Raw genomic sequence first — 26,974 nt, forward strand, 5'->3', positions numbered from 1 at the left:
CAATCTCGGCTCTCTGCAACCTCTGCCTCCTGGGTTCAAGTGATTCTCCTGCCACAGCCTCCCAAGTTGCTGGGACTACAGGCACACGCCACTGTGTGCAGCTAATTTTTGTATTTTTAGTAGAGATGGGGATTCACCATGTTGGCCAGGCTGATCTCGAACTCCTGAACTCAGGTGACCCACCTGCCTCGGCCTCCCAAAGTGCTGGGATTACAGGCATGAGCCACCGTGCCCAGGTTCTAACCATTTTTAAATAAGAATAATATTGTCTTTGAAAATATATATCATCTAAAGTAATGCAATTATCTAGTACAATCTTAGCCAGTGAATAAATAGCTTTTTGTTGAGCTGTGAAAGAGGCTACAGTTTCATCAGCAATATTTCTTTCTTTCTTTCTTTCTTTCTTTTGTCTTTCTTCTTTTTTTTTTTTTTAAGACACAGTCTTGCTGTGTTGCCCAGGCTAGAGTGCAGTGGTGCAGTCTCAGCTCACTGCAGCCTCAACCTCCCTCGCTCAAGCAATCCTCCCACCTCAGCCTCCCGAGTAGCTGGGACTACAGACATGCACCACTATGCCTGGCTAATTTTGTTTTTGTTTGTTTGATTGTTTTGTTTGTTTGTTGAAAGACAGGGTCTCGCTATCTTGCTCAGAATGGTCACAAATTCCTGAGCTCAAGCAATCCTCCCAGCTGAGCCTCTCAAAGTGCTGGAATTACAAGCATAGGCCCCCAAGCCTGGACTCTTTATTTTTCTTTCAGAGAGAAGGAGTGGCTCTGTCGCCCAGGCTGGAGTGCACTGTCGCCATCATAGGTCACTGCAGCCTGGAACTCCTGGGTTTAAGTGATCCTTCCACCTCAGCCTCTGAGTCACTGGGATTATAGGCCAGAGCTCCCATGCCCGGTTTTTATCAGCAATGTTACCTAAGGTTAAAGAAGGATTTCGAACCACGGGAAACAACATCCCATCAAAGCAAAAGCGTGCTCCCCCAAAAATGTATGGAGCTACTTTCTTAATGGTCAGGCAGGTAATTAGCAAGTTTTCTCCCAATAGGATCTCCATCTATTAATAAAATAGAGTGGTGGGCATGCCTAGTGAAAAGTTTGAGGACGCTCATCCAATTCTTTTTTTTTTTTTTTGAGATGGAGTCTCGCTCTGTCTCCTAGGCTGAAGTGCAGTGGCATGATCTTGGCTCACTGCAACCTCTGCCTCGCAGGTTCAAGTGATTCTCCTACCTCAGCCTCCTGAGTAGCTGGGAATACATGTGAACACCACCATACCCAGCTAATTTTTGTATTTTTAGTAGAGACGGGGTTTCACAGTGTTGGCCAGGCTGGTCTTGCACCCCTGACCTCAGGTGATCCACCCGCCTCGGCCTCCCCACTCATCCAATGTTGGGTTTCTTCAGAGCTATATATATATATATAGGCATGACCAAATATCCTAAAAGACATTGCACTTCATCATTCCATGTCTTTAGACATTTAAGGGCCATGGATGGTGATCTCCTCCACAGACCAAATAAATGCTGGTGCACAACAGGTAAGTGTAGTATAATTTGGGTACATCAGCTTTCGGCATTTAAACCATGCATGGGTCAGACATGTTAGAGCAAGAGGGCAGGTTGGATCCTGATAGCAGGAGGGAGTGTTTTTCTCTTAACTTTCCAATAGCATCATGGTGTTTACCACTGTCATTTCAGAGTGAGACAACAATTTTTTGTTGGTTTTCTTTCTGATCTTTGGTTTTTTTTGCAACCGGGGTCTCACTGTTGCCCAGGCTGGAATGCTGTGGCAACATGACAGCCCAGTACAGTCTTGACCTCTTGACCTTCAGGGCTCAATGAATCATCCTACCTCAGCTTCCCAAGTGCTGGAGTTAGGCACACACCACCACGCCCAGCTTATTTATTTACTTTCTGAGACAGGGTCTCACTCTTTTGCCCAGTCTGGAGTGCAGTGGTGTCATCTGGATTCACTGCAGGCTCGAACTCCTGGGCTCAAGTCATCCTCTCAACTCATACTCCTGAGTAGCTGGGACTACAGTTGGGTGCCACCATGCACCCAACTGTATATTTTTGTATATTTTGTAGAAATTGTTTCACCATTTTGCCCAGGAAGATAGTCTCAAACTCCAGGGCTCAAGTGATCCTCCTGCCTCGATATCCCAAAGTGCTGGGATTACAGGCAGTTATTTTGACAGTACAATTATGATGGGTTAAACTGAGACGTACGGCAGGAAGGTTAGGATGAGTCAGACAGGTTCGATAAACAGGTTTTGCTTGATGTAACCCCGAGTTGCATCGTGAGTTCAATCAGGAGGAATACAGGTGAAATTTGGCACAGGATGTACCAATGGGTCATTATGGTCAAAAGTGGTTGGTGGTTTAAGGTGGCAAACCCAGCACCTTGTCACATTTCCCACAGTGGCAATGGTTTGTGAGATTCTGATCAGAGAATTATCCCTCCCTGATGTAATCAAATTAATTAAGGACAGTAAAACAGAAATCTGATCATAGGCATTTTGCTATGTATGTATGTATATGTATATACATGTACGTGCAATAGGACTAGTGTGTCATATCTTTAGAGAATATACATATAGGGTGATTTTACCAAAACCAATAGGATACGACCCCTACAACTTAAAGGAGCCCTGATGGTGTATGTATTCCAGTCAAGAGAAAAAGAGACTAACTCTTCCAGGTGCAGTGAGCACTGGAATTGTGAACAGCTGGTTATACAGGCCAGTATCTTGGGTGGAAGTGGGCTACAACAGATGTCAGCTACTTGCCATCTTCGTCAGGAAGATGGCAGGTCACCTTTAAGTGAAAACCTCCACTGACAGATGTCCACTCTGGTAGGGTTGCCTTTTAGATATGAGAAACATGAATCTGTGTGTCAATGCCCTTATATTTACTGCCACAGAGATGAGGCAATAATACCTGATGTGAGCCAGGTGCAGTGGCCCACACCTCTGGTCCCAGCTATTTGGGAGACTGAGGCAGGAAGATGGCTTGACCCCAGGAGATAAAGGCTACATTGAGTCATAATTACGCCACTGCATTCCGGCCTGGGCAACAGAGTGAGACCCCATCTCAAAAAAATAAATTAATATTAATAATACCTACGTGGTGCCCTCCAGTGGACTTGGAGGGAGTATTTTATTTGATGTTGTTTCCAGTAAGCGACATCTCCAGTTTATAGGCATAGTTTTTGATATTTTCATCTCCCATCAGCTCATTATGAAAGGCATCCTTTATTAATTTGGAGCTCTTCATAAGAAGTTTTGTGAGACCTTAGAAATAATGGAGAATGTTACCTTTAAGAAGTGCAGTGCAGGTTCATAAGCCCCTTCATCTAACCACTGCATGGGTCTTCCTGTTCTAATTTCAAAGGGAGGGAGTGAAAGTTTTCCAGAAACAGTGGGGGATCTTTGGCCAGAGAAGGTTAAAAACTTCTGTTAGCTTTGCCAATTGAGTTTTTATCTTATCATTATTAAGTTGCACTAGTCCAGAGGATTAGGGGTGATAGGCACAATGGAAATGTTGGGACATAGGTCAAACGTTACAAATGGATCCAACTATCTGACTGATAAGGTGTGTTCCTCAGTTGCTATGGAGATCAGATGGCACTCCCCATGAGGAATGATTTTCTCTAATCACAGTCTACCAGCTGCTTGGGCTGTGGCTCATTGGCACAGAAATGTTTCACTCCAGCGACAGCACATATAAATTAGCACCAGAAAGTATCTGTGACCCTGAGATGGAGACAGCTGGATAAAGTCTAACTGCCATGTCTCAAAAGGTCCTAAAGATGCAATGTCCCTGTGACACATGAAGGGGTTTTCCAGGATTATGTTTGGGACAGAACAGAAAGTACAGCAAGAATAAACCTTTTGCACAATGGTAGGCGATGATTTTCAATACACTGCTTTCCCCATGCTATCATTTTGTCTGAATTCCAACGAGTCAGCTTATGAACTACTTTAAAATGGGTAATTGAAGCCTAAGGGGTGGATCAGGGTATCACTGGGCCCATACCATATGTGTGTTTCTGGAAAAAACTTGTTCCCTTTATCTTTCCAGAGAAAATAAAATATTGACTCAAAATAAATTAATTAAATTTTAAAAAGAAACAGGGCCAACCATGGTGGCTCATGCCTGTAATCTCAGCACAGCTCTTTGGGAGGCTGAAGCAGGAGGATCACTTGAGCTCAGCAGTTGGAGACCAGCCTGGGCAATTTAGTGAGACCACATCTCTACAGAATTATTATTTTTCTTAATAGCCAAGTATGATGGTGCATACCTGCAGTCCCAGCTACTTGGAAGGCTAAGGTGGGAGGATCACTGGAGCCCAGGAGGTTCAGGCTACAGTGAACTATGATTGTGCCACTGCACTGCAGCCTGGGCAACAGAGAAAGACCTTGTCTCAAAAAATAAAATAAAATAAAATGTCTTAGAAGTTTAGCTGTCCATCCTATGCAGCAGAATATCTATGTGTCATGTCCACCATGTCCTTCTGTTGTATCATCCCCTTAGTTAAGCCAGGAAGGCACCTGTCCCCTTATTAGAATATCATGGGCTCATGGCTAGCACAGTGGCTCACGCCTGAAATCCCAGCACTGTGGGAGGCTGAGGCACATAGATCTCTTGAGCCCAGGAGTTGGAGACCAACCTGGGCAACATAGCAAGGCCCTATCTCTACAAAAAAAAAAAAAAAAAATAGCTGAATGCGGTGGTGCATGTCTGCAGATCCAGCTACTCTGGAGGCTGAGGTGGGAGGATAACTAGAGCCCAGGGGGTGGAGGCTGCAGTGAGCTGAGATCACGCCACTGCCTTCCATCCTGGGTGACAGAGTGAGACCTAGTCTAAAAAAAGCAGGGGAAGGGGGAGAAAGTTTGTTGTGCCAGCAAGTAAATGAAGAAAGGGACAGTATTAGAGTTGAGAAATAAATTGGAATATGATTTGATACCTCTCCCGCAGAAGATAAATTTGCTAAAAGTGCTGAAGTTAGAGGCATTACATAAGACCCATTGCAGTTGCTCATGCCTGTAAATCCTGGCACTTTGCAAGGCCGCGGAGCTGCTTGAGCCCAGGAGTTTGGAGACCAGCCTGTGCAACATGGTGAAACCCCTTCTCTACAAAACAAATAAAAATTAGCAGGGCATGATGGCCCACTCCTGCAGTCTCAGCTACTTGGAAGGCTGAGAGATGGGAGGATCGCTTGAGCCTGAGAAGTTGAGGCTACAGTGAGACGCAATCAGGCCACTGCACTCCAGCCTTAGAGACAGAATGAGACCCTGTCACAAAAACTAAAAATTAAAATTAAAAAGCCTGTAATATAGCAGTGGCACATCCAGTTCTCTACGCTACTATAGAACTATCAGTGGCCAAAGATATGTGTACAAGAATGACGATTTCAGGATTCTCTGAAATCCTAAAACCATGAAGCCAACCTTATTTCAAACACATTTTGAAAACGGTTAAATAAATCATGCACAAACTGACTGATAAAAAAATGCTGTTTTCAAAAATGATGAAGAGGATCATTATGATGATGAATGATTCCACTTTCTATCCATATTATTGATAGAGCAACCAGTAAATCCAGGCCCATCCTGGGGATAGGATATCTCTCTAGGCCTCCTATTAACAATGAAAAAATTAAGGTTGGCATATAACCCATCCAAGCCTATAAGGGGCAGCATGAGGATTTTGTCGGCACCAGAAGTGACTCATTTGGTCTCTGTTTCTTGTACACAGGCACAAGACAGCATGACATTTCAGGAGATTCTCTGTCTGAATCGGATCTGTGAGGCGAGGGTGTGGGGAGTGTGGGGAATGGCCCTTGACAGGGATCTCTGTTAACTGTGCCTAGAATCCTGAGAAGATAAAACCTTCCCTGCAGTAAGCATCCCTGGCTGGCCTGGAACCTATAGGACTTAGGACTATGGGAAGAAAAAGGGAAGATTCTCTAGTGATCGATAATACACGAACGGGGGAGATTCTCTAGTGATTGATAATACACGAACGCTTTAAAAGCTAGAGCAAGCGTCCCCGGGTGGGCTCGAACCACCAACCTTTCAGTTAACAGCCGAACGCGCTAACCGATTGCGCCACAGAGACAAGAACTACTGCTTTTACTGTGCGCTATGGGAAGGGCGCCTTCAACAAATTTCCCCTGTGCCTTCCAGCTTCAGGGCTCGTCCGGCAGGATGACTGAGCAAGGCCTTGGAAAACCGGAGCGATTAGAGCGGTGAATCGCGCTGGTCACGTTGGACACCTGCGCGTTAGGAGATTCTGGAGCCAGAAGGACAGCCGAATGGCCTTCGCCCGCCCTGCCCCTCGCCTGCTTCAGAAGCCCCTGGAAACGCCCCGGTCTGCGACCCGGGTTCGAGCAGCCAGGGGGCTCAAGGGAAGCTGAACGCCTGGTGGGCTCCCGGGATGGCTCTTCCCGTTCTTTGCACAGCCTTCACCCAGTGAGGGAGCCTGTGCCCTCCCTGCTCAGTCGCATTCGGGGCGCTGCGGAGCTTCCGCTGCCTTCTTCGGATCCTGCGTTCGGCACCGGGGCTCCACCAGGGCAGGGATCGTGGTGAGGGTCGCTCGTGGATCCCCTCGCGGGGAGCAGGGTCTGGCACTCACCAGGGCGCACGACTAGGACTTGTTGAATGAATCCGTCGTCGCCTTTATCTTTTAGTCCTTTGAAGAGCCTTGAGAATGGAAATCATGAGAGATTTTTCCATGGGGGAAGTTCTTTTTACGAAACGTTTATTCAGATTGATTTCTCGGCACCCCGCGGGGAGGGCAACGGGCAGGGCTTCCAGTGCACCTTCTGCGCAGTGGAGCCGCGGGGGCTCAGCTGGACAGTGGTCGGGTCGTGGGGCTGGAGGGCGGGAGCGGGGGAAGGGAAAAGCAAAAGCGGGGAAAGAAGCCGGAGAGCGGTGGACCAGACATCTAGACCTGAAAGGCTCGTGCGGAGGCAGAGGCGGGATCTTCCGGAGGTGAGAATTGTTTTTTTATTGTAGCAGAATGGGGAGGAATTGAGGGGAAAACGGAGATAGAACCTGAAAGAGCCCCAAACGTGAGAATCTGTAACTCCCCAAGAATAAGATCTTCCAGAAAAATTAGACCGAAAACTAGGCGTCTGGGAACCCTGACATCCTTGGAGGAGTAGCATCATCATGACCCTCTGTGTTCCTTTTGGCATAAGGACTTGCTTCCATTGTTTGTTTGTTAAATTGTTGTGTTTGTTTAATAAATAAAACCTTTTCATGTATCTTTGAAATTACGTTGGTTTGGCCGAGCGCGGTGGCTCACGCCTGTAATCCCAGCACTCTGGGAGGCCGAGGCGGGCGGATCACGAGGTCAGGAGATCGAGACTATCCTGGCTAACACAGTGAAACCCCGTCTCTACTGAAAAATACAAAAAATTAGCCGGGCGTAGTGGCGGGCGCCCGTAGTCCGAGCTACTCGGGAGGCTGAGGCAGGAGAATGGCGTGAACCTGGGAGGCAGAGCTTGCAGTGAGCCGAGATCGCGCCACTGCACTCCAGCCTGGGCGACAAAGGGAGACTCTGTCTCAAAAAAAAAAAAAAAAAAAAAAAAAAAAAGAAAGAAAGAAAGAAAGAAAGAAAGAAATTACGTTGGTTCTATTACTTTATGATTACAAACAATGCTGCAGTCATCATTCTTGTACACTTCTCATTGGCCACTGGTGTATTTCTATAGGATAGAGGCCTGGAGAGCAGCTGCTCCAGCATAGTGATTACATGTTTTTTTATATCATTCCATTTTCTTTCCTTTTTTGGCTTATTAGCTATAATTCTTTCTTTTGTTATGTCAGTGATAGCTTTAAGGTTTCTAGAATATATCTTTATCAGTCTGCCCTCAAGTGACATTATACCTTCCCTTCTGGCCTTTATGCTAGTGTTGCCATGTCATTTGATTTTAGACATGTTATAAACCCCAACATCTAAGTACATACATAGCGATTTCCAGTCGTCTCCATTTATTTGTGTAGGTTCAGATTTCTGTCTGGTATCCTTATCCTTAGGCCTGGAGGACTCCTTCAACATTTCTTGTAGTGTGGGTCGGTGAATGCTTTCATTTATTTGTATGTCTTTATTTTTATTTGTATTTTTTTAAGATGGAGTCTCACTCTGTCACCCAGGCTGGAGTACAGTGGCATGATCTGGGCTCACTGCAACCTCCACCTCCTGGGTAAAAGTGATTCTCATGCCTCAGCCTCCTGAGTAGCTGGGATTACAGGCATGTGCCACCTCACCTGGCTAATTTTTGTATTTTTAGTAGAGACGAAGTTTTGCCATGTTGGCCAGGCTGGTCTCCAACTCCCCGACCTCAAGTGATCCGCCCGCCTCGGCTTCCCAAAGTGCTGGGATACATGTGTGAGCCACTGCGCATGTGTATGTCTTTAAATGTCCTTATTTCAGTCACATTTTTTAGAGATTTTTCATTGTGGCATAGAATTCCAAAATAACTTTTTTTCTCTCTCTCACTACTTTATGTTGCCACTTTGATGCCTTGTCATTGATATATCATCTTTTCTGTTTTTGTAAAACTGGCATAAAGGAGGCTTCCTGTACTTGTTATATAATTTTTGGAATGTGTACTTAAATTTAAAAAAAATTGTTATACTTTAAGTCCTGAGATACATGTGCAGAACGTCCAGGTTTGTTACATAGGTACACATGTGCCATGGTGGTTTGCTGCACCCATCAACCCACCATCTACATTAGGTATTCCTCCTAATGCTATCCCTCCCTTTGCCCCCCACCCCCCTATAGGCCCCAGTGTGTGATGTTCCCCTCCATGTGTCCATGTGTTCTCATTTTTCAACTTCCACTTATGAGTGAGAACATGCGGTGTTTGGTTTTCTGTTCCTGTGTTAGTTTGCTGAGAATGATGGTTTCCAGCTTCATCTATGTCCCTGTGAAGGACATGAACTCCTTCTTTTTTATGGCTGCAGAGTATTCCATGCTGTATATGTGCCACATTTTCTTTATCCAGTCTATCATTGATGGGCATTTGGGTTGGTTCCACGTCTTTGCTACTGTGAATAGTGCTGCAATAAACATACGTGTGCATGTGTCTCTATAGTACAATGATTTATAATCTTTTGGGTATATACCCAGTGATGGGATTGCTGGGTCAAATGGTGTTTCTGATTCTAGATCCTTGAGAAATCGCCACAGTGTCTTGCACAATGGTTGAACTAAATTAAAAATATGAAAATGGGCTGGATGAGGTGGCTCACGCCTGTAATCTGAGCACTTTGAGAGGGGGAGGCGGGATGATCGATTGAGGCCCAGAGTTGGAGACCAGCCTGGATTAGATAGTAAGACTCTCTCTCTCTCTCTCTCTCTCTCTGTGTGTGTATATATATATATGTGTGTGTATATATATATATATTAAAAAATATATATATACACATTCTCTCTGTGTATATATATTATATATATATAATATATACACACACTCTCTCTCTATAGATATATGTATACACACAGAGAGAAATATGTCCATCGTGAGAGTCCTAGATTCATCTTAAGTTTCACCGAAAGTGCACTTAGAGTAAAATGTGCCCACTCTGAGGGTCAAACCTACCTACTGACGTGTAAGTTGTGTTTGTGAGACATTCTCAACAGCATTTGCTTTCCCTAGCATAGTGGTTTTCATGTTTTCCTCACACCTGAATGTCCTCAGTGCAAAACCTGTCAGAATTCATTTCCTTTGCTGTTCTTCTTTGAGAAACCTCCAGGGTTTTATTTATTTATTACACACCTTTTAAAAGCATAGAGACAAAGACTGGCAAGTGGTATATATTACTACATTAGTCTGAGTTCTCCAGAAAAAGAAAACGAGCAGGATACACACAGACATACACACACACATACACACACACACACACACAGAGATTTACATTGGCTAATGTGATTATGGAAGCAGAGAAGTCCAAGGTCTACACTGAGTAAGCTCTAGACCCAGGAGAGTGGAATATAGTTCTCTACCAAGTCCAAGGCCCAAGGCAGAAGACTGATGTCCCAGCTCAAAGACAGTGGAGCAGAGACTTCTTTCTTAGCCTTTCATTCTATTCAAGCCTTCTGTGGGTTGGATGAGGCCCACTCACACTGGGGAGGGCAATCTGCTTTACTCAGTTTACCGATTCAAATGTCAATCTCATCCAGAAACACTCTCAGAGACACAGTGAGAAATAATGTTTAACCAAATATCTGGGCACCCCATGGCCCGTTCAAACTGACAGAAAAATTCATCTTCACAAATACTCTCAATAAAAGTGACTAACAAATGTAGCATCATGTCCTGCCTGTTTATCCCATGACAATTAATGTATTCCAGCCCAACATTGTCTTCCTTTCTCTTACAGAAGCAACATGTAACAGTTTCATTGAAAGTAAGGTTGCCCGGGCACAGTGGCTCACCCCTGTAATCCTAGCACTTTCGGAGGCTGAGGCGGGCAGATCATCTGAGCTCAGGAGTTTGAGACCAGCCTGGCTAACATGGTGAAACCCCATTTCTACTAAAAATACAAAAAATTAGTCGGGCATGGTTGCGCATGCCTGTAATCCCAGCTACTCGGGAGGCTGAGGCAGGAGAATCATGTGAACCCGGGAGGTGGAGATTGCAGTGAGCCAAGATCCCGCCATTGCACTCCAGCCTGGGCAACAAGAGTGAAACTCCATTTCAAAAAAATTAAAAATAAAAATAAATAAATAGAGTGAGGTTAATTTTGACCTTATGGAGTCTCTCCCCAACCCCTACATACCTTTGCACTTGTGGATTGTCATTTTGTCATGGCTTTGATATAAAAATATATCAATAAGCTATATGCAGTGCTAATGTAAGTTTGAATTTCATCCTGACTCCATAAGCCACTTTCCATTTTGATAAAGCCTAGAAATATTCATGTCCATCTCCTTGAATATGGGTAATGGATACCTATTGTGGGGCCCACTCTCAATCTCATGGGGTTTTTTAATTTTTTTAAATTTTCATTCAGGTCTCAATAGATATGCCTGGGCTGCCTGAAAGCCACTGAAAATGGCCCGTGGCCTTGTACATCTGACAGAGTGGACTAAAATCTAAGCCATGGAATGGGGGGATGGAAAGTGAGAAACACCAAACTCAGCACACAATGACTCAGTTTAAATCTCTGGGCTAAGAGATCTATCATGGCTTCTGGGACATAAGGCTTTGTCCGGAGGGTGACTGTAGGCTCCCATGACAATGCCTACCCCAGAAAGCTCAAGGCTGCCAGAGGAACTTACTTTAGTTCCAGCCAATACCTGCTGATGATGGTAGGTTCAGGATCTCCCTTTTGTATAGCACTTACTAAGAAGGGAATCCTTCCTCCATCCCTTTGAGATGTGTTTGTATCTCCTAGGGACTCCAGTGTGTCTTTCCCTAGGATCTGAAAGCCATTCCTTTGAGCTGTAGTTCTCAGGAAGGACTGAGCCTCTGTCTTCCAGTCTCTGTGGGAGGTTAGAATCCTATCTTCTAATATTGTCAGCTAGCAGACACAGCTGGCCTGATGAGGCAGACATTCACAATGTTTCACTTGTGCCCTGCCCCCTGCCCTCTCCCCTACCTCCCTCTCCCCCTATAATGCCATCACCTCTGTACAAATGGGAACACAGCTCAGCCCCGTTCTCTACTATCAGTAGTTACTGAATAAAATCTGTTTTCTCTGCTTTAACTAATGTCTGGCTTTATCTTCGACAAAATAAGTGGAGCGATGATTTTTAGGGACAAGGCAGCTGCAAAGAGAGGCACAGACATGGGAGGAGAGGGAGGGATCACCTGACCCTTTTCATTTCGTAGGTATCTATTCCTGCCTGATGTTTATAAGCCTGACACTTGGCTGGGCTTCCCTGGGGTATATCTCCATGGCTCTGTGGCAAGACTTGAATAGGCTGGTGATGACACTTGATGTCCCCATAGCCACCTTCAAAAATGTCATTAAAGGCTTGCGAGAAAATGGAAGGAAACACAGAAAACCTGATTTTGAAAGTTGCCGCCTCTCCTTCTTCCTCATTCAGAGCGTGTACGATATTGCTGTGCGGTGTTTGTTGGACTGCAATTTAGCACAACACCTTTTCTAATATTTGGCAGTTTCTTGCAGAGTTAAGCCTACCCTATAAGGAAGCAAATTTACTTTCATTCATTACCCATGAAAAATGAACATATACATCCAATAAGGCTTCTACAAAAAATGCTCATAGCAACCTTATTTTTATACTAAGGAAAAACTGGGTACAACACAGTCTTCATCAACAGAAGAATTTAATACCTACTGTTATATAGTCATAAAATGACCTCATGCACAGCAAACAAAAACAAGCAAAAAAAAAAAAGTAGGAAAAGTATGAAAAAACACAGTAACATGGGTAAAACCCTCCAAACACTATACTTAGCAAAAGTTTCCTATAAAAGTATCCTTTGAACATCTAAAACAAATTTATCTTAATGTACCTGTCTGATACTCCTGTGTAATTCCATTTATATGAAGCATCAGGACTCAACAGTGGCTCCCTCTTTGAGGTACTTTGATGGAAAACTTCCTGGGTTGATGGAAATGTTCTATGTGGCTTGGTCTAGTTGATACTTACAAGGGTCTATACATTTATTAAGCTTCATGGTACACTTTTTACATTTACATTTTTAATATAAAAATAATGTTAATTATTTTTAAACTGCCGAAATCCCAAAATGAATACTTGTTTTAGTATTGGTTTAACCCTGAGATATATTTTTTACTTATATACATACGTAAAATCTGTATAATAAAGTTTGGAGTAAATTAGACCTTTTTACTCTTCCTACACAATGCTAGAAGTCTGGAACATCTTAATTCCATTTACCCTCCTTGTGATTCTCAAGTTACTCTCATTAATTTTAAGGCACCATATATTTTAAGTCACATGGACATCATTATGATCATTGGATTAGTAAAACGTACTATTTGACTGAGCCACACATTAAACCTACACATCGCCCTGCGTTCCTTCGTTCCCTTTCCACATTCCCCGGGGATATTTCACATTTTTGCATTTCCCTTAGTTAGCATGTGCTGCTTCTCCAGAAAGGTCTGCACTTCACCTTCACTTGAAAGATCTGTAGTCTTGGGTTAGGAGCCAGCAGTCAGTTGAAAATGGTAGTATTTTAGAACTCTATGATGTCTTACTTTTTCACTGCTGTGAATTTAGCACCTGACCTTTGGACACAATAGGAATTTCCCCCTCTGGGGGCTGCTCTGGTTTTCCCATGTGCCTTGGGCGTTCAGCAGTGTCCTGATGACATGCTTAGGTGTCGTTTGTTTGTCCTTATGCTGCTTGGAGTTCATAGCTCTTCTTGCACATGTGGCTTGATGCCTCGTTGGGTTTGTTTCTCTTAATTGTCCATAGGTAACAACTATTTCTTTTCAGTATTGCTTCTGTCCCATTTTCTGTCTCCTCCAGCTTCCAGGACATTAGTGACAATTTATTTTAAGCATTTATGACATAACTTATATATATATATATATATATATACACACACACTTGTTTCTTAGTTTTCCTTCCTGCTAGCTCTCTCTCCGCTTGTCTGGAAAGTCTCCGCTTACTTATCTTCAGGCTAGTAATCCATCTTCACATGGATCCAAACTGCCATTACACCAATCTATTGACTTTTTAAAATAATAACTATTGCATTTTATTTCTAACTTTAATAGATTTTCTTTCCAATTATAAGTATTTATTACATCTCTATGTTATTTCTACCATTACCGTATTTTATTTGTATAATTTCCATTTTATTTCAAAATAGGTTATTATTTTCTGGTGAAAATTTTTACCGTCTCTTCCATTCTTCTGAACATCTAAATCATATCATTTGAATGGTACTGTCTTATAACCTCGATGTCTCCATCATCTGTGAAAAACCTACTGTTTCCTGTTTTGAGTTTGTTTTCTCTTGCCTCTGCTTCTTTATATGCCTAGAATACTATGACTGAATGGTGGGTCTCTGTGAAAAATTATGAAAGGACTGAGTCGTGTTCTCTGTCTCTGAAGATGAATTCCCCTCTGCCCCTGGCAGGCACCAGAGGCACAGATCACCTCAACCCCATCTCTGTCTCGGCTGACCTGCAGCTTGTTTTTCCTCTTGGGAAACTCAGCAGCAGGATTTTTCCCTCAGAGAAACATCACATTTAAAGCATACATAGAAAAAGGTGGGGTTTTTTTCATAAAAAGTCTTAGTTTTCTTATTGTAAATTTAAACACATGGTTATTACTGTTCTTAAGCTAATTGGGCTAGCCTGGGCAACACAGTGAGACCCCGTAACTATGAAAAATAAAAACACTAGGCAGGCATGGTGGCATGTGCCTGCAGTCCCAGCTACTCAGGAGGCTGGGGCAGGAGGAGCACTTGAGTCCAGGGGTTCAAGGCAGCAGTGAGCTAGATCATGCCACTGCACTCCAGCCTGGGTGAGGAATAGAGACCCCGTCTCTGAAAATTAATAATAATCATATAGTAATAATAAGACAATTGGGGCAGTACCTCCTTTATATTGATCAGATACTCGATTTGTCTATACCCTCCAGAGGAAGACAAAGTATTCTACTTTGTTTCCTGAGAAAATACTGTGTATTTATATATGAAAAAAATCCATTAAAATACTGGGCATTCTAAAGCATCTAAATGTCATAAGTAATATCATTTAAAGTGGAAACAGAGGCAGTGGTGTCTATCAAGGATGCTTATCAGTGAGGGAAACAAAAGGAATCATTAAGCACCCTTGGATACCTGAAGGGCCCCTCTGCCAAAAATCTCAGTAATTCTGTGATACACTTTTGAGTCTAGCAGGTTATTCTCTTTTCCAGAGTACGAAGTTGCCAACCTAAAAGAACAACCAAGAGAGAGTGGTTCTCCAAAGAAGTGAATGTTTGGGGATAAACAGAGGATTTCAATCCAGGATATGCGCACTATCGTATGAGGACCCAAAGGCACAACCAGGCAGGCTGAGAAGGGGAACCTTTAACAGCGAAAATGAGGAAGGTTACATAGTTGTTTTGAAACAATTATCCTTGGCCACAAGGAATAATCACAAGGGTGGCATCAGTCCAAGGATGAATAGGCAGTTGCTGGGCAGATGTCATTGCAGAGAGATTCTTTGGGTAAGGTTGTGGTGGCCTTTGTGCAAAGTTATGGTTTTCAGAGAGTTCTTGTAATAGTTTTTATCACAGGCATGTGTGTGTGAGCACCCCTCCTTTATGATCTCCTGATTGAATTTTGTTAGGATTTGGCATACGTGACTCCATTTTTCATTCTGACAACTTTTACAGGTCATTGCTTTTCATCCATTTTTACTAAGGGCTGGACTTGCTTAAATTCCAGGAAATTATGAGGTCTTGATTCGTATAATTATCACAAGTGCTCATGTTGCTGACTCAGTTGCCTATTTGGGATGTTATAATTGTCTTTTTTCTCCTTCCTGTGCTGTAATTTACACAATCCTTAGAGGAGATTAATTTGATACTTTTCAGCTGTGAAAAACTTGAATATGCCAATCAAAGAAAGGTTCCCCTCACATGCTAGGAATTTAGTTTCTTTCCTGTGCTAAGATCCATTTAGGTATAGCACTTTCCTGGAGCCAAGAGTTCCTATGAAATGGGGTGTGGCATAGTGTGTATTAAGATCATCCTTATTACAGAGATGCCATTCTTGCAGATATTGACAGCTAATGTGTCCCTAAGACTTTTACCAAACATCAGATAGACAAGATATGAAAACCTTCTCATTGCTGCAGTCTCAAATGTCAGGAAAGACCAGAATCTTTAGGATAATGGACAATCAAGAAAGACTCACAGACTAGATTAGCTGTCATGTACTGCCAATCAGGGAATGGATCCTTGTCAACCACCACCTAACAGAGATTGTCCCCAGAAGTTCACTCCATAACATCAAAACCAGAAACCCACATTGGTGCCACTGATGACAGAAAATAATAATGCAAAAATGAGAAAGAAACAGTGAGAGAGAGAGAGAGAGAGAGAAGACATAGAGGGAGACAGAGACATGTACTACAGCCATACTTAGTGATTAAAAGCCAAAGAGCTCAATTTCTATTCATGATATTCATTAAAAGAAGCAAGGAAACAGGAGCTAATAGCTCTGAGGGTTCAGGTCTACACAAGATGCCCGTTGGGTGGAGGGTTCTGTTGGCTCCAGTGATGTTTCTCAGATGTGCTAATTGTTATGGACATAGCCCCTGAAAAAATCTATCAAATAATAATACAGGGACAGCTATCTGCATGGTAATTTACCATTGTATAGGAGGGAGAAAGGGCATTAGATTGGTTTTGGCAAATAAAAGAAAAACCAAGATTTATGAAGAAAAGAGGAAAGGGGAGAAGAAAAAAATTGCCTGGGACCTTTGTGATTTTGCTCCCCTTGTGTAAGGGACTTGACAGAAAGCTTTCCAAGAGGTCGCTGTGGCCCATCTTCTCTGGACCAGTGTGACTTAGTCATCACAGAAAACAATCACAGATGTTGGAGGACTTTAAAATATCTTAGAAGTTTAGCAGTTCATCCTATGTCACAGAGTTTCTGTGTGCAATGTCCACCATGTCCTTCTGTTGTACAACCCCTCAGTTAAGCCAGGAGGGTGCCTCTCCCCTCACGACCAGCCTGGGCAACACGGCGAAATCCCGTCTCTACAAAAAATACAAAAATTAGCCCATAGTATGGCGCACGCCTGTAGTCCCAGCTCCTTGGGGTGCTGAGGCAAGAAAATCGCTCGGCCCCAGGAGGTCGAGGCTGCAGTGAGCCATGTTTGCACTACTGCATGCCAACCTGGGTGACCAAGGCTGGAATATCATACATCCATGTGTAGAAAGTTTGTTGTGCCGGCAAGTAAATGACAAAGGGGACATTAACAGAACTGAGAAACAAATTGGAATACGATTTGGTACCGCTCCCACGAAAGATAAATTTGCAGAATGTACTCAAATTGGAAACATTAAATAAATTCTATAATGTAAAATTAGCACATCCTGTTGTCCACACTATAGAAATATCTGCACAAGTGACCGAAGATATGTGTACAAGAATGATGGTGATTGCAGCATCATTTGTAATCCTAAAACTATGAAACGCACCTCACTTCAAAAACATTTTGAAAAGGGTTAAATAAATCATGCACAAACTCAAGAAGAAATGCTGTTCTCACAAACACTGGCGATGATCACCATGAGGATGACTGATTCCACTGGTCACATTATTGATAGAGCAATCAGTAAACCCAGGCACATCCTGGGGATAGGATACTACTGTAATAGGCCTCCTATTATTAAACATGAAAAACTTGAAGCACAAAATGTCCACCTAACTGACCCAAGTCATGGGAGCAAGGAAGATTTTTATCACACCACAGGTGAGATCCTTTCTAAGGTCTATGGGATTCCTGAGTTTGATAGGTATAACGCGCGGTGGCCCTTGCCAAGCCTCAGACTTAAGGTGGATAGGAAGTGGGGACATGTGTGTCTTGTGATCAATCAGGAGTTGGTTGTCCCATCAACAGAAACAGGTTAAAATAAAGCCCCAGGGCCCCGGCTGGAACTACCAACCTTTCTATTAACAGCAGAATGCTCTAACGAATTGCGCTGCAGGTACACGTTCCGTGCCTTCTTCTGGGCGCTATAGGAAGGGTGCACTCAGCAAACTCCCCATCCCCTCAATCTTCAGGGGCCCTCCTGGCAGGACGACTGTGCAAGTTCCAGGTCCTTGGAAAACCGGAGAGATTAGAGCGGTGAATTGTAGTGTTGGACACCTGCGCGTTGGGATATTCTAGAGCACGAAGGACAGCCGAATGGCCTTCGCCCGCCCTGCCCCTCGCCTGCTTCAGAAGCCCGAGGAAACGCCCTCGTCCGCGACCCGAGCCGCCGCCTCGAGGCTCAGGGGAAGCTGAACGCTCGGTGGGCTCCTGGGATGCATCTTCGCGTTCTTTGCGCCGCCTTCACCCACTGAGGGAGCCTGTGCCCACCCTGCCCAGTCGCTTTCGGGGCCGCTGCGGAGCTTCCGCTGCCATCTTCGGATCCTGTGTCCCGCACGGGGGCTCCACCAGGGCAGTGATGATGGTGAGGGTCGCTCGTGGGTCCCCTCGCGGGAAACAGGGTATGGCACTCACCAGAGCGCACGACTAGGACTTGAATTAATCCATCGTCGCATTCAGTTTTTAGTCTTTTGAAGAGCTCTGAAAATAGAAATCATGAACTGTTTTTCCATGGGGAAGTTTTGTTTTGTTCTGTTTGTGAGACAGGGTCTCACTTGGTAGCCCAGGCTGGAGTGCAGTGATGCAAACACGGCTCACTGCAGCCTCGACCTCCTGGGGCCGAGCGATTTTCTTGCCTCAGCGCCCCAAGGAGCTGGGACTACAGGCGTGCGCCACACGATGGGCTAATTTTTGTATTTTTTGTAGAGACGGGATTTCACCGTGTTGCCCAGGCTGGTCGCGAAGGGAAAGTAAGTTTTTTTTTTGTTTTGTTTTGTTTTTTTTGTTTTTTTTTTTGATACAGGGTCTCGCTCTGTCGCCCAGGCTGGAGTGCAGTGGCGCGAACTCGGCTCACTGCAAGCTCCGCCTCCGGGGTTCACGCCATTTCCTGGCTCAGCCTCCCCAGTAGCTGGGACTACAGGCGCCCGCCACAACTCCCGGCTAATTTTTTTTCTCTTTCTTTCTTTCTTTCTTTCTTTCTTTCTTTCTTTCTTTTTAGTAGATACGGGGTTTCACCGTGTTGGCCAGGATGGTCTCGATCTCCTGACCTCGTGATCCGCCTGCCTCGGCCTCCCAAAGTGCTGGGATTACAGGCGTGAGCCACCGCGCCCGGCGGTAAATTCTTTTTAAAAAGCGTTTATTCCGATGGATTTCCTGGCATCCCGTGGGGCAGACAACGGGCTGAGGCCTCCAGTAAACCTTCTGCGCGATGGAGCTGCGGGGGCTCAGCTGCGCTGTTTTTGGGTGGGTGCCTGGGGCACTAGGGCGGGAGCGGGGCACTGGGTGGGTCCAACGGGTAACTGCAAGGAGGAGAGCAAGGAAGTCGGCAGAGGCGGCGACCCTGGCGAGGAAACTTCCCAGTAGCTTTGTTCAGCGGTAAGGACCGGATCCCTGAGAGACAAAAATCATCTTTTCTACTGTAGCAGAGTGGGGAGAACGCCAGGAAAAATGGAGAGACACCAAGAAAGAAGGAAAATCATGGGGACCCTTAGGCCGAAGCAGCCCTATATTAAGTTTAAAGAAGAAAGCAGGCGGCTTCCTGTGATGGTATATTGGTTAGTACTCTGCATCGCGGCCAAGGGTGGAATCCCAGTCATGGCAGTGTCCCTCCTGGGGCGTGGCACTCCTCCTTTCCTTTAGACTCCAACCTCTGCCTAGGCTGCGCTTTTACCTGCGACTAGAGAGGTTACAACTTACCAGTGCCTTCGGAGCTCTGTGCAGTGGTGAGAATAGAAGGAACCCCTACCTTGCATGCTGGGGTCCAGTCATCTTGAAAGGCTGGGCTTTTGCCCCCTCTCTGAGCAAGTGCAGCACCCAAAAGGTGAGGTGCTCCCTCTCAGTCAGCCTTATTGGAATCCTCCACTATTACCACGATGTGGCCATAACCGTTTTTCTGGTTCAGATATTTCAAACATCCGTGGGGCCTTTTAAGGCCGAATCAGAAACAAGCGAGAGGACATGAGGCTAGTTTGCACTCCAACTGGGAATTTTAAGTAAAGCCTAAAGAATACAATAAAATCTAAACTTAATGTCATTCCCCAACACCCAAATGTTATTTGTTTTTATTTATTTATTTGTTTATGTATTTTTGCTATCAGTAAATGACTGAAGTATAATCCACACAGACCAAAGTGTTCCAATCTGAAGTGCACAGCCCAGTGCATTTTGACGTAAGAAACCATCACCCAGATCAAGTTACGGGACATTTTCACCAGCCCAAAAAGTCATCAGAGCCCCTTTCCAGTCAGTCCTCACCCCATCCCCACTTAGGCAATCAACATTCTGATTTCTATCTCCATGGGTTACTTTTGCTTCTTCTTGAAATTCACGTAAAGGAATATACTGATTCTGTTTCTTTTTTGAATGCAACAATGGTTTTGAGATACATTCATTTTATGGCATGTATCTCAACTTTTTGATGTTATTGATGAATACAATACCATTGATGGAAGATTGGAATATTTCTACTTTTGGCTATTGTGAATAAGGTGTTTATGGGCCTTTTTATGGACCTGTGCCTTCATTTCTCTTGAGTATAAACCTGGTAATGGAATGGCCAGGTCATGGAGCAGGCATATTTTTAACTTTATTAGAAAGAAACTATCAGACACTCTTTTAGAATGGTTGCACTATCATATTCTCTTGCCAGCAACAAGGAATACATTTGCTCCGCACTCTTATAAGCTAGTGGTTTTCCCTGTCTCTTAAATGTTGCCCATTCTGATGGGCGTGTAATGGTGTATCACGGCATTTTAAATTTGTGTTTTCTGAATGAGTGACGATGCTGATAATTCTTTCTTTTGACATTTGGACATGAAGAAATCCTCTTTTGTGAACAAACACTGTTCAAGTGTTTTGTTCATTTTAAATTGGCTTGACTCTTTCCCCTCACCCATTTTTACATAAACTTTACTGTTAGAATAGAAAAATTGAGAAGCTAGTACACAGAATGGAGTAAAGAGGCTGGAATGGGTTTGGGGAACCAACTCACATTTTATGGTTAACACATTGTTCAAGAACAATGTATGTTTTCCAAAGACATCCCCTTATTGAAATACGCAGAGAAAGTGTGGGATAAAAGAGCATATACTAAACATCTCAGAACGAGTTTCTGGAAGTGGACAAGGGAATGGGAATGCGATAAACAGAGAAAAGGAGAGACAGTAAGGGCCTTGCTCAGAGCAGCCACCATACTGTGCCCTGTGCTAAGGACATGGAATTTTGAAAACAGAAAGTTCACCCAGACAGACCAGTCTAGATAAGAAAGGCAGGAAGAGACTTTAAAAAACAAAGCAAAAACAGAGAAATCATACAATGAGATGCTGGGAATGAGACTATGCCCATCATCTCCAACATAACACTAATTACTGCTAATTGTAATGAATCTAAATCTCTCAGATTGGATAGAAAAGGAAATGCTGGCTCTAACAGTTTAATGGACAGAAAAGGGTTAAATATTAAAAGCAGTGCTTATTATCCTTAGCAAACTAATGCAGGATCAGAAAACCAAATACCACATGTTCTCACTTATAAGCGGGAGCTGAATGATGAGAACATGTGGACAGATAGGATGGGGGTGGGGACAGCACACACTGGAGCCTGCCAGAAGGTGGGGCTGGGAAGAGGGAGAGCATCAGAAAGAGGAGCTAATGGATGGTGGGCTTAGTACCTGGGTGATGGGATGATCCGTGCAGCAAACCACCATGACACACATTTACCTATGGAACAAACCTGCACATCCTGCACATGTACCCCTAAATTTAAAGTAAAACTGGAAGTAAAACATTTAAAAAGAAAAGAAAACAAACAACAACAATAACAACAAAAAGAGTGGTGCAAATCTGTACCAGGCTTATTGGAAACAAAAGAATGAGAGTGAAAACATGGGTATCAGACAAAGGCAAACAGCAAAACAATGCTTTATATTAGCTAAAGGAGTAATATCCTAGCATCTAACTAAAGTCGAATGGAATCGAATGGAACTGTTTTTCCCTGAACTGGCCTCCTTGGGTGGCCAACCAGGGCATGGTGAAGGGAAAAAATCTTGGAGTGCAATGTCCATTTCTTTGCTCTTGTTTTGGTCTCTGTAAGGCATAAGAAGTTAAAAAGCAAGATCTGATCTTCGGAGTTTTCCAGGAATTCGAAATAGGTATATGAGGAAAGAAGCTCAATTATCACCCAGGTCTCCGGGAGTATCCCAGGTATAGTGCCAAGAGTCCAGCTTTCCGAACCGGGGTCCCTGGGTTCTGAAGGCCTTTTTGGGGAAAGTACTGATGTTTTTGTCAAGGTTGGGGGGAAAGGGTTTGGAAGGCCCCAACACCCACCACTGGTCACACACATACTGGCTGAATTCCAGACTATGCTGGCTGGTCTCAAACTCCCAACCTCAGGTGATCTGCCCGCTTCAGCCTCCCAAAGTGCTGAGATTATAGGCGTGTGCCACTGCACCCAGACCCAGCTAATTTTTTTTTTTTTTTTTTTTTGGAGACAAGACTTTCACTCTTGTTGCCCAGGCTGGAGTGCAGTAGTGCGATCTTGGCTCACTGCAATCTCCACCTTCCAGGTTCAAGCAATTCTTCTGCGTCAGCCTCCCGAGTAGCTGGGATTACAGGCATGCGCCACCATACCTGGCTAATTTTGTATTTTTAGTACAGACGGGGTTTCACCATGTTGATCAGGTTGGTCTTGAACTCCTGACCTCGAGTGATCTGCCTGCCTCGGCCTCCCAAAGTGCTGGGATTACAGGCATGAGCCACTGCACCCAGCCTGTTTTCAAGGTTTTTATGAACACTGGTACCTCCATCATTTTCAACAGGTACAAAAAGCAGAAAGTGGCAAGAAGAAAAAGCCTACAGTTAAGTTTCCTTCATTCAACAAATACTAATTGAGTATCTACTATGTACCAAGGCACTGTCCTAACACTTATGAAAAAGAAAACATCAATAATAAGAGTGGTGAGGAAATAAGAAATTTAAAGACATATAGGAATTGTCTAAAGGCCAAGTAAATCTTTGTCTTTTAGACTAAAAGGCTGTGCTAAAGTAGTGAATAATAAGCAAGAAAAAAAAAAGAAGAGTGAATGATAAAACAGAAAAATGTTTTCCTGTATGACTAGAGGTCATTCTTAATGAGGACAACACAATCATCTAGGGGATAGTTGGGACATCTATGGAAGTGCTTTGGTTGTCACAGCAGTTAAGAAGTGCTTCTCACTATTCACAATAGCAAAGACATGGAATAAACCCAAATGCCCATCAGTGAGAGACTAGATAAAGAAAATGTGGTACATATACACCATGGAATACCATTCAGCCATAAAAAGGACGAGTGATTACTTTGCAGGGATGTGGATGGAGCTGGAAGCCGTTATCCTCAGCAAACTAACATAGGAACAGAAAACCACACATCACACGTTCTCATTTGTAAGTAGGGGCTAAATGAGGAGGACACATGGTGGGGAACAACACACACTGGGGCCTGTTGAGGGAGCCTCAGGAAGAATATCTAATGGATGCTGGGCTTAATAGCTAGGTGATGAGTTGATCTGTGCAGCCAACCACCATGGCACAGGTTTGCCTACATAACAAAACCTGCACATCCTGCACATGTGCCCCGGGACTTAAAATAAAAGTTGCAGAAAAAAAAAAAAAGTGTTACTGACATTCAATTGGCAGAGGCCAGGAAAGCATAGGCAAGTCCAGCACAAAGAAAAAATGTCTTTATTCTCAAACTTCCTTATGAATAGTTAACTGGATTTTTAAAATCTGTATAATTACCAAAGCCTAGAACCTAATTACATTCTACGTATAAGCACCAAGTCCTTCTGCATAATTTTATTTATTTATTTATTTTTTTTTGAGACAGGGTCTCACTCTGTCACCCAGGCTGGAGTGCAGCGGTGTGATCACGGTTCACTACAGCCTTGACCTCTTGGGCTCAGGTAATCCTCCCACCTCAGCCTCCCAGGTAGCTGGGACTTCAGGCACGTGCCACCAAGCCCGGCTAATTTTTAAAAAAATTTTTTGTAGAGACAGGGTTTTACCATGTTGCCCAGGCTGGTCTCCAACTCCTGGGCTCAAGTGATCCAACCGCCTTGGTATCCCAAAGTGCTGGGATTACAGGCGTAAGCCACCGTGCCCAGTCCATAATTTTAATATGTACTAAATGTCCAGAAAAGCAACTGCTGAATAAAGTAAGAGAAAACTGTACTTTGGGGCAGATGCAGTGGCTCACGTTTGTAATCTCAGCACTTTGGGAGGCCAAGGAGGAGGACAGCTTGAGCCTAATTCAAAACCAGCCTGGGCAACTAAGTGAGACCCCATCACTACCAAAAAAAAAAAAAAAAAAAAAAAAAAAAAGAAGAAGAAGAAAGAAGTTGTACTTGAGTTTTATTTGTACATTTGCAAAGAATTGTTCACTGTACTGGTTTGCTTCTCCTGGTATTTAAGTTGCAAATACCCTTATAGCAGTCTACTCAGGTAGCTGTCATGTCAAGCTAATCTGTCAGAAATATTTTCTATTTATCCTTTATCTTACTGCAAGATAATTTTTTTAATTATATATGTAGGGCCGGGTGTGGTGGCTCACGCCTATAACCCCAGCACTTTGGGAGGCCGAGGTGGGCGCACTTGAGGCCAGGAGTTCGAGACCAGCCTGGCCAACATGGTGAAACCCTGTCTCTACAAAGAATAAATAATAATACAAAAAAATTAGCCAGGTGTGGTGATGCACGCTTGTAATCTCAGCTACTTGGAAGGCTGAGGCACGAGCATCGCTTGAAGCACCCAGGAGGCAGAGGATACAGTGAGCCAAGATCACGCCACTGCACTGCAGCCTGGTTGACAGAGATTCTGTCTCACAAAAAAAAAAAAAAAAAAACAAAAAAAAAACATATATATATATATATATATACACACACACACATATATGTAGAAAAGCTGTATTACCTGTGGATTTCATTTCACTAAAGAGAGTATTTCAAAATACTTATAAGAAGAGGGCACTGAATCTGAGAGGTCTGAGAATTAACGGGCTAGAAGATCAGCATCATTGTAGGATACCTGCAGGTCTCAGTTAATCCAGCAAAAGGTAAGAAAGAGCATGTAACTATAACTGTTTTTTCTTTTGAGAATGTAAATTCTAAGCATGGTGAAAGGTAAGCAAGATGAAACTTCTGGAAGATGGTACTATGGGTTAAAAGTCTATTCAAATCTGTACAACATCAAAGTGAGTGGCAAGGAGGTAGACATTACCTTGTCTACTAAGAAGTTTCCTGTGACACTTGTTCAAATTATCAAGGAGAGAGATTAATCTGTCCTAACAGATTTTCAAGGAAGACAAAACTAACTGGTCTGGCCAGGCGTGGTGGCTAACACCTGTAATCCCAGCACTTTGGAAGGCCGAGGCAGGCGCATCACTTGCAAGGTCAGGAGTTTGAGACCAGCCTGGCCAACATGGTGAAACCCCGCCTCTACTAAAAATACAAAAATTAGCCAGGTGTGGTGGCGCACACCCATAATCTCAGTTACTCGGGAGGCTGAGGCACAAGAATTGCTTGAACGTGGGAGGCGGAGGTTGCAGTGAGCCAAGATTGCACCACTGCACTCCAGCCTGGGCGACAGAGTGAGGCTTCAGGTCTCAAAAAAAAACAAAAAACAAAATCTAACTGGTCTGTTTTGGGAAAAGAGTCACCAACAGTCTACTTATCATACAAGAAAAGTATGCCTGGTTTAAAAATCACTGGCGCCAACTCACTTCTTTTTTAAATTTTTTTTTAAGAGATGGGGTTTCGCCATATCACCCAGGCTGGTCTCAAACTCCTGAGCTCAAGTTACCCACCCACCTCTGCCTCCCAAAGTGCTGGGATTACAGGTGTTAGCCACCATACCTGTCCTACTTCTAACTGATATACATGCATCTGGGGACCTCTGAGAAACTCTGAACAGCAAACAATTGAAAAAAGAAATTTCTAAAAAAGAATAATTTTTCAGCACCTAAACTTCTGTATGTGAAACTATAACAACAACCTAAAATGCTTCTAATACGGTAATGGCCCTATTTCTCTGCAAATAAGGATTGCTCACGATTCTTACACTGCCTTTCAATTAGGATTATACAGCTCCATTCCTCATTCAAGCTTCCAATACGTGCACCTAAGTATCATTTTACAATGGGATATACTTAGGTAAACTGAGACGGTCAGATGACTCAGCGAGAAGTCACCCGAAGAATTTTAGAACAAAGATTAATAACTCCAATATACCCTCTCAACCAAGAATTTGAAGAAACTAAAAGGTTAAACACAAAATTTCTGGAGCTTATGAAACTTCTGAGAGGTATAAGAGAAACACAGAAAGTAAAACTAAAAGTTAGGCTTGTTGTCTGCTTTTCATTTTGTTTTCAAACTGGGATTTCCAGCTGTCTTACTAAATTACATGCAGTGTTTCTATCTCAATTAATTCCCAACTGACAAAAAAATGTGGATAGTTTTCTTTTATAAGTTGCTCTTACAGTATGTAACTTGAGAGGGGTAATCCAATTCCTCTGGTCTCAGTAATTCCAAAGACAGAAAGTAACTCCAATAGATACTGCTATAATGGAATTGCAGCCACTAACTGAGCCCTAGTTCCTGTTCTAAACCCTCTCTCCCATCAGAGGTTTGCCTAAAATTATACGGTCTCAATTTTCTTACTGAAAATTCACTGGGATCCCAAAATTAAAAATCAAACCTACACCAAAACAAAACCTTAAACACAATTAGCACAAGATGACACTGACTATCCCTCTATCTATCCCAGGGTTTCTCAACCTCAGCCCTCTTACCTTTTTGGGCCCAATATAATTCTTTGTTTTGAGGGGTCTATCCTGTGCACTGCAGCATGTTCAGCAGCATCTCTGGCCTCCACCCACTGCATGACAGTAGCAACCCTCCTCTAGCCCCTAGTTACAAAAATCAAAAATGTCTACAGGCTGGGTGTGGTGGCTCACACCTACCATCCCAATACTTTGGGAGGCCGAAGCAGGACTGCTTGAGGCCAGGAGTTTGACACCAGCCTAGGCAACACAGTGAGACTCTGTCTCTACAAAAAATTAAAAAATTAGCCGGGTGTGGTGGTACAGCTAGTTGGGAGGCTGAGGTGGGAGGATTGCTTGAGCCCAGGAGGTGGAAGCCGCAGTGAGCCGTGATCACGCCACT

At 43.6% G+C, this 26,974-nt stretch overlaps 1 non-coding gene and 1 pseudogene across 1 annotated transcript; both read right to left on the reverse strand.

Annotated features, from left to right (window-relative positions):
- Positions 1-5,682: 5,682 nt before the first annotated feature.
- Positions 5,683-6,707, reverse strand: LOC112268228 (translation initiation factor IF-2-like; annotated as a pseudogene).
- Positions 6,048-6,121, reverse strand: TRN-GTT9-1 (tRNA-Asn (anticodon GTT) 9-1). The gene has a single exon. It is a non-coding gene; the product is annotated as a tRNA-Asn (tRNA).
- Positions 6,708-26,974: the final 20,267 nt, after the last annotated feature.

This window comes from Homo sapiens, chromosome 1 (assembly GCF_000001405.40).
Source record: "Homo sapiens chromosome 1, GRCh38.p14 Primary Assembly".
NCBI classification, from domain to species: domain Eukaryota; kingdom Metazoa; phylum Chordata; class Mammalia; order Primates; family Hominidae; genus Homo; species Homo sapiens.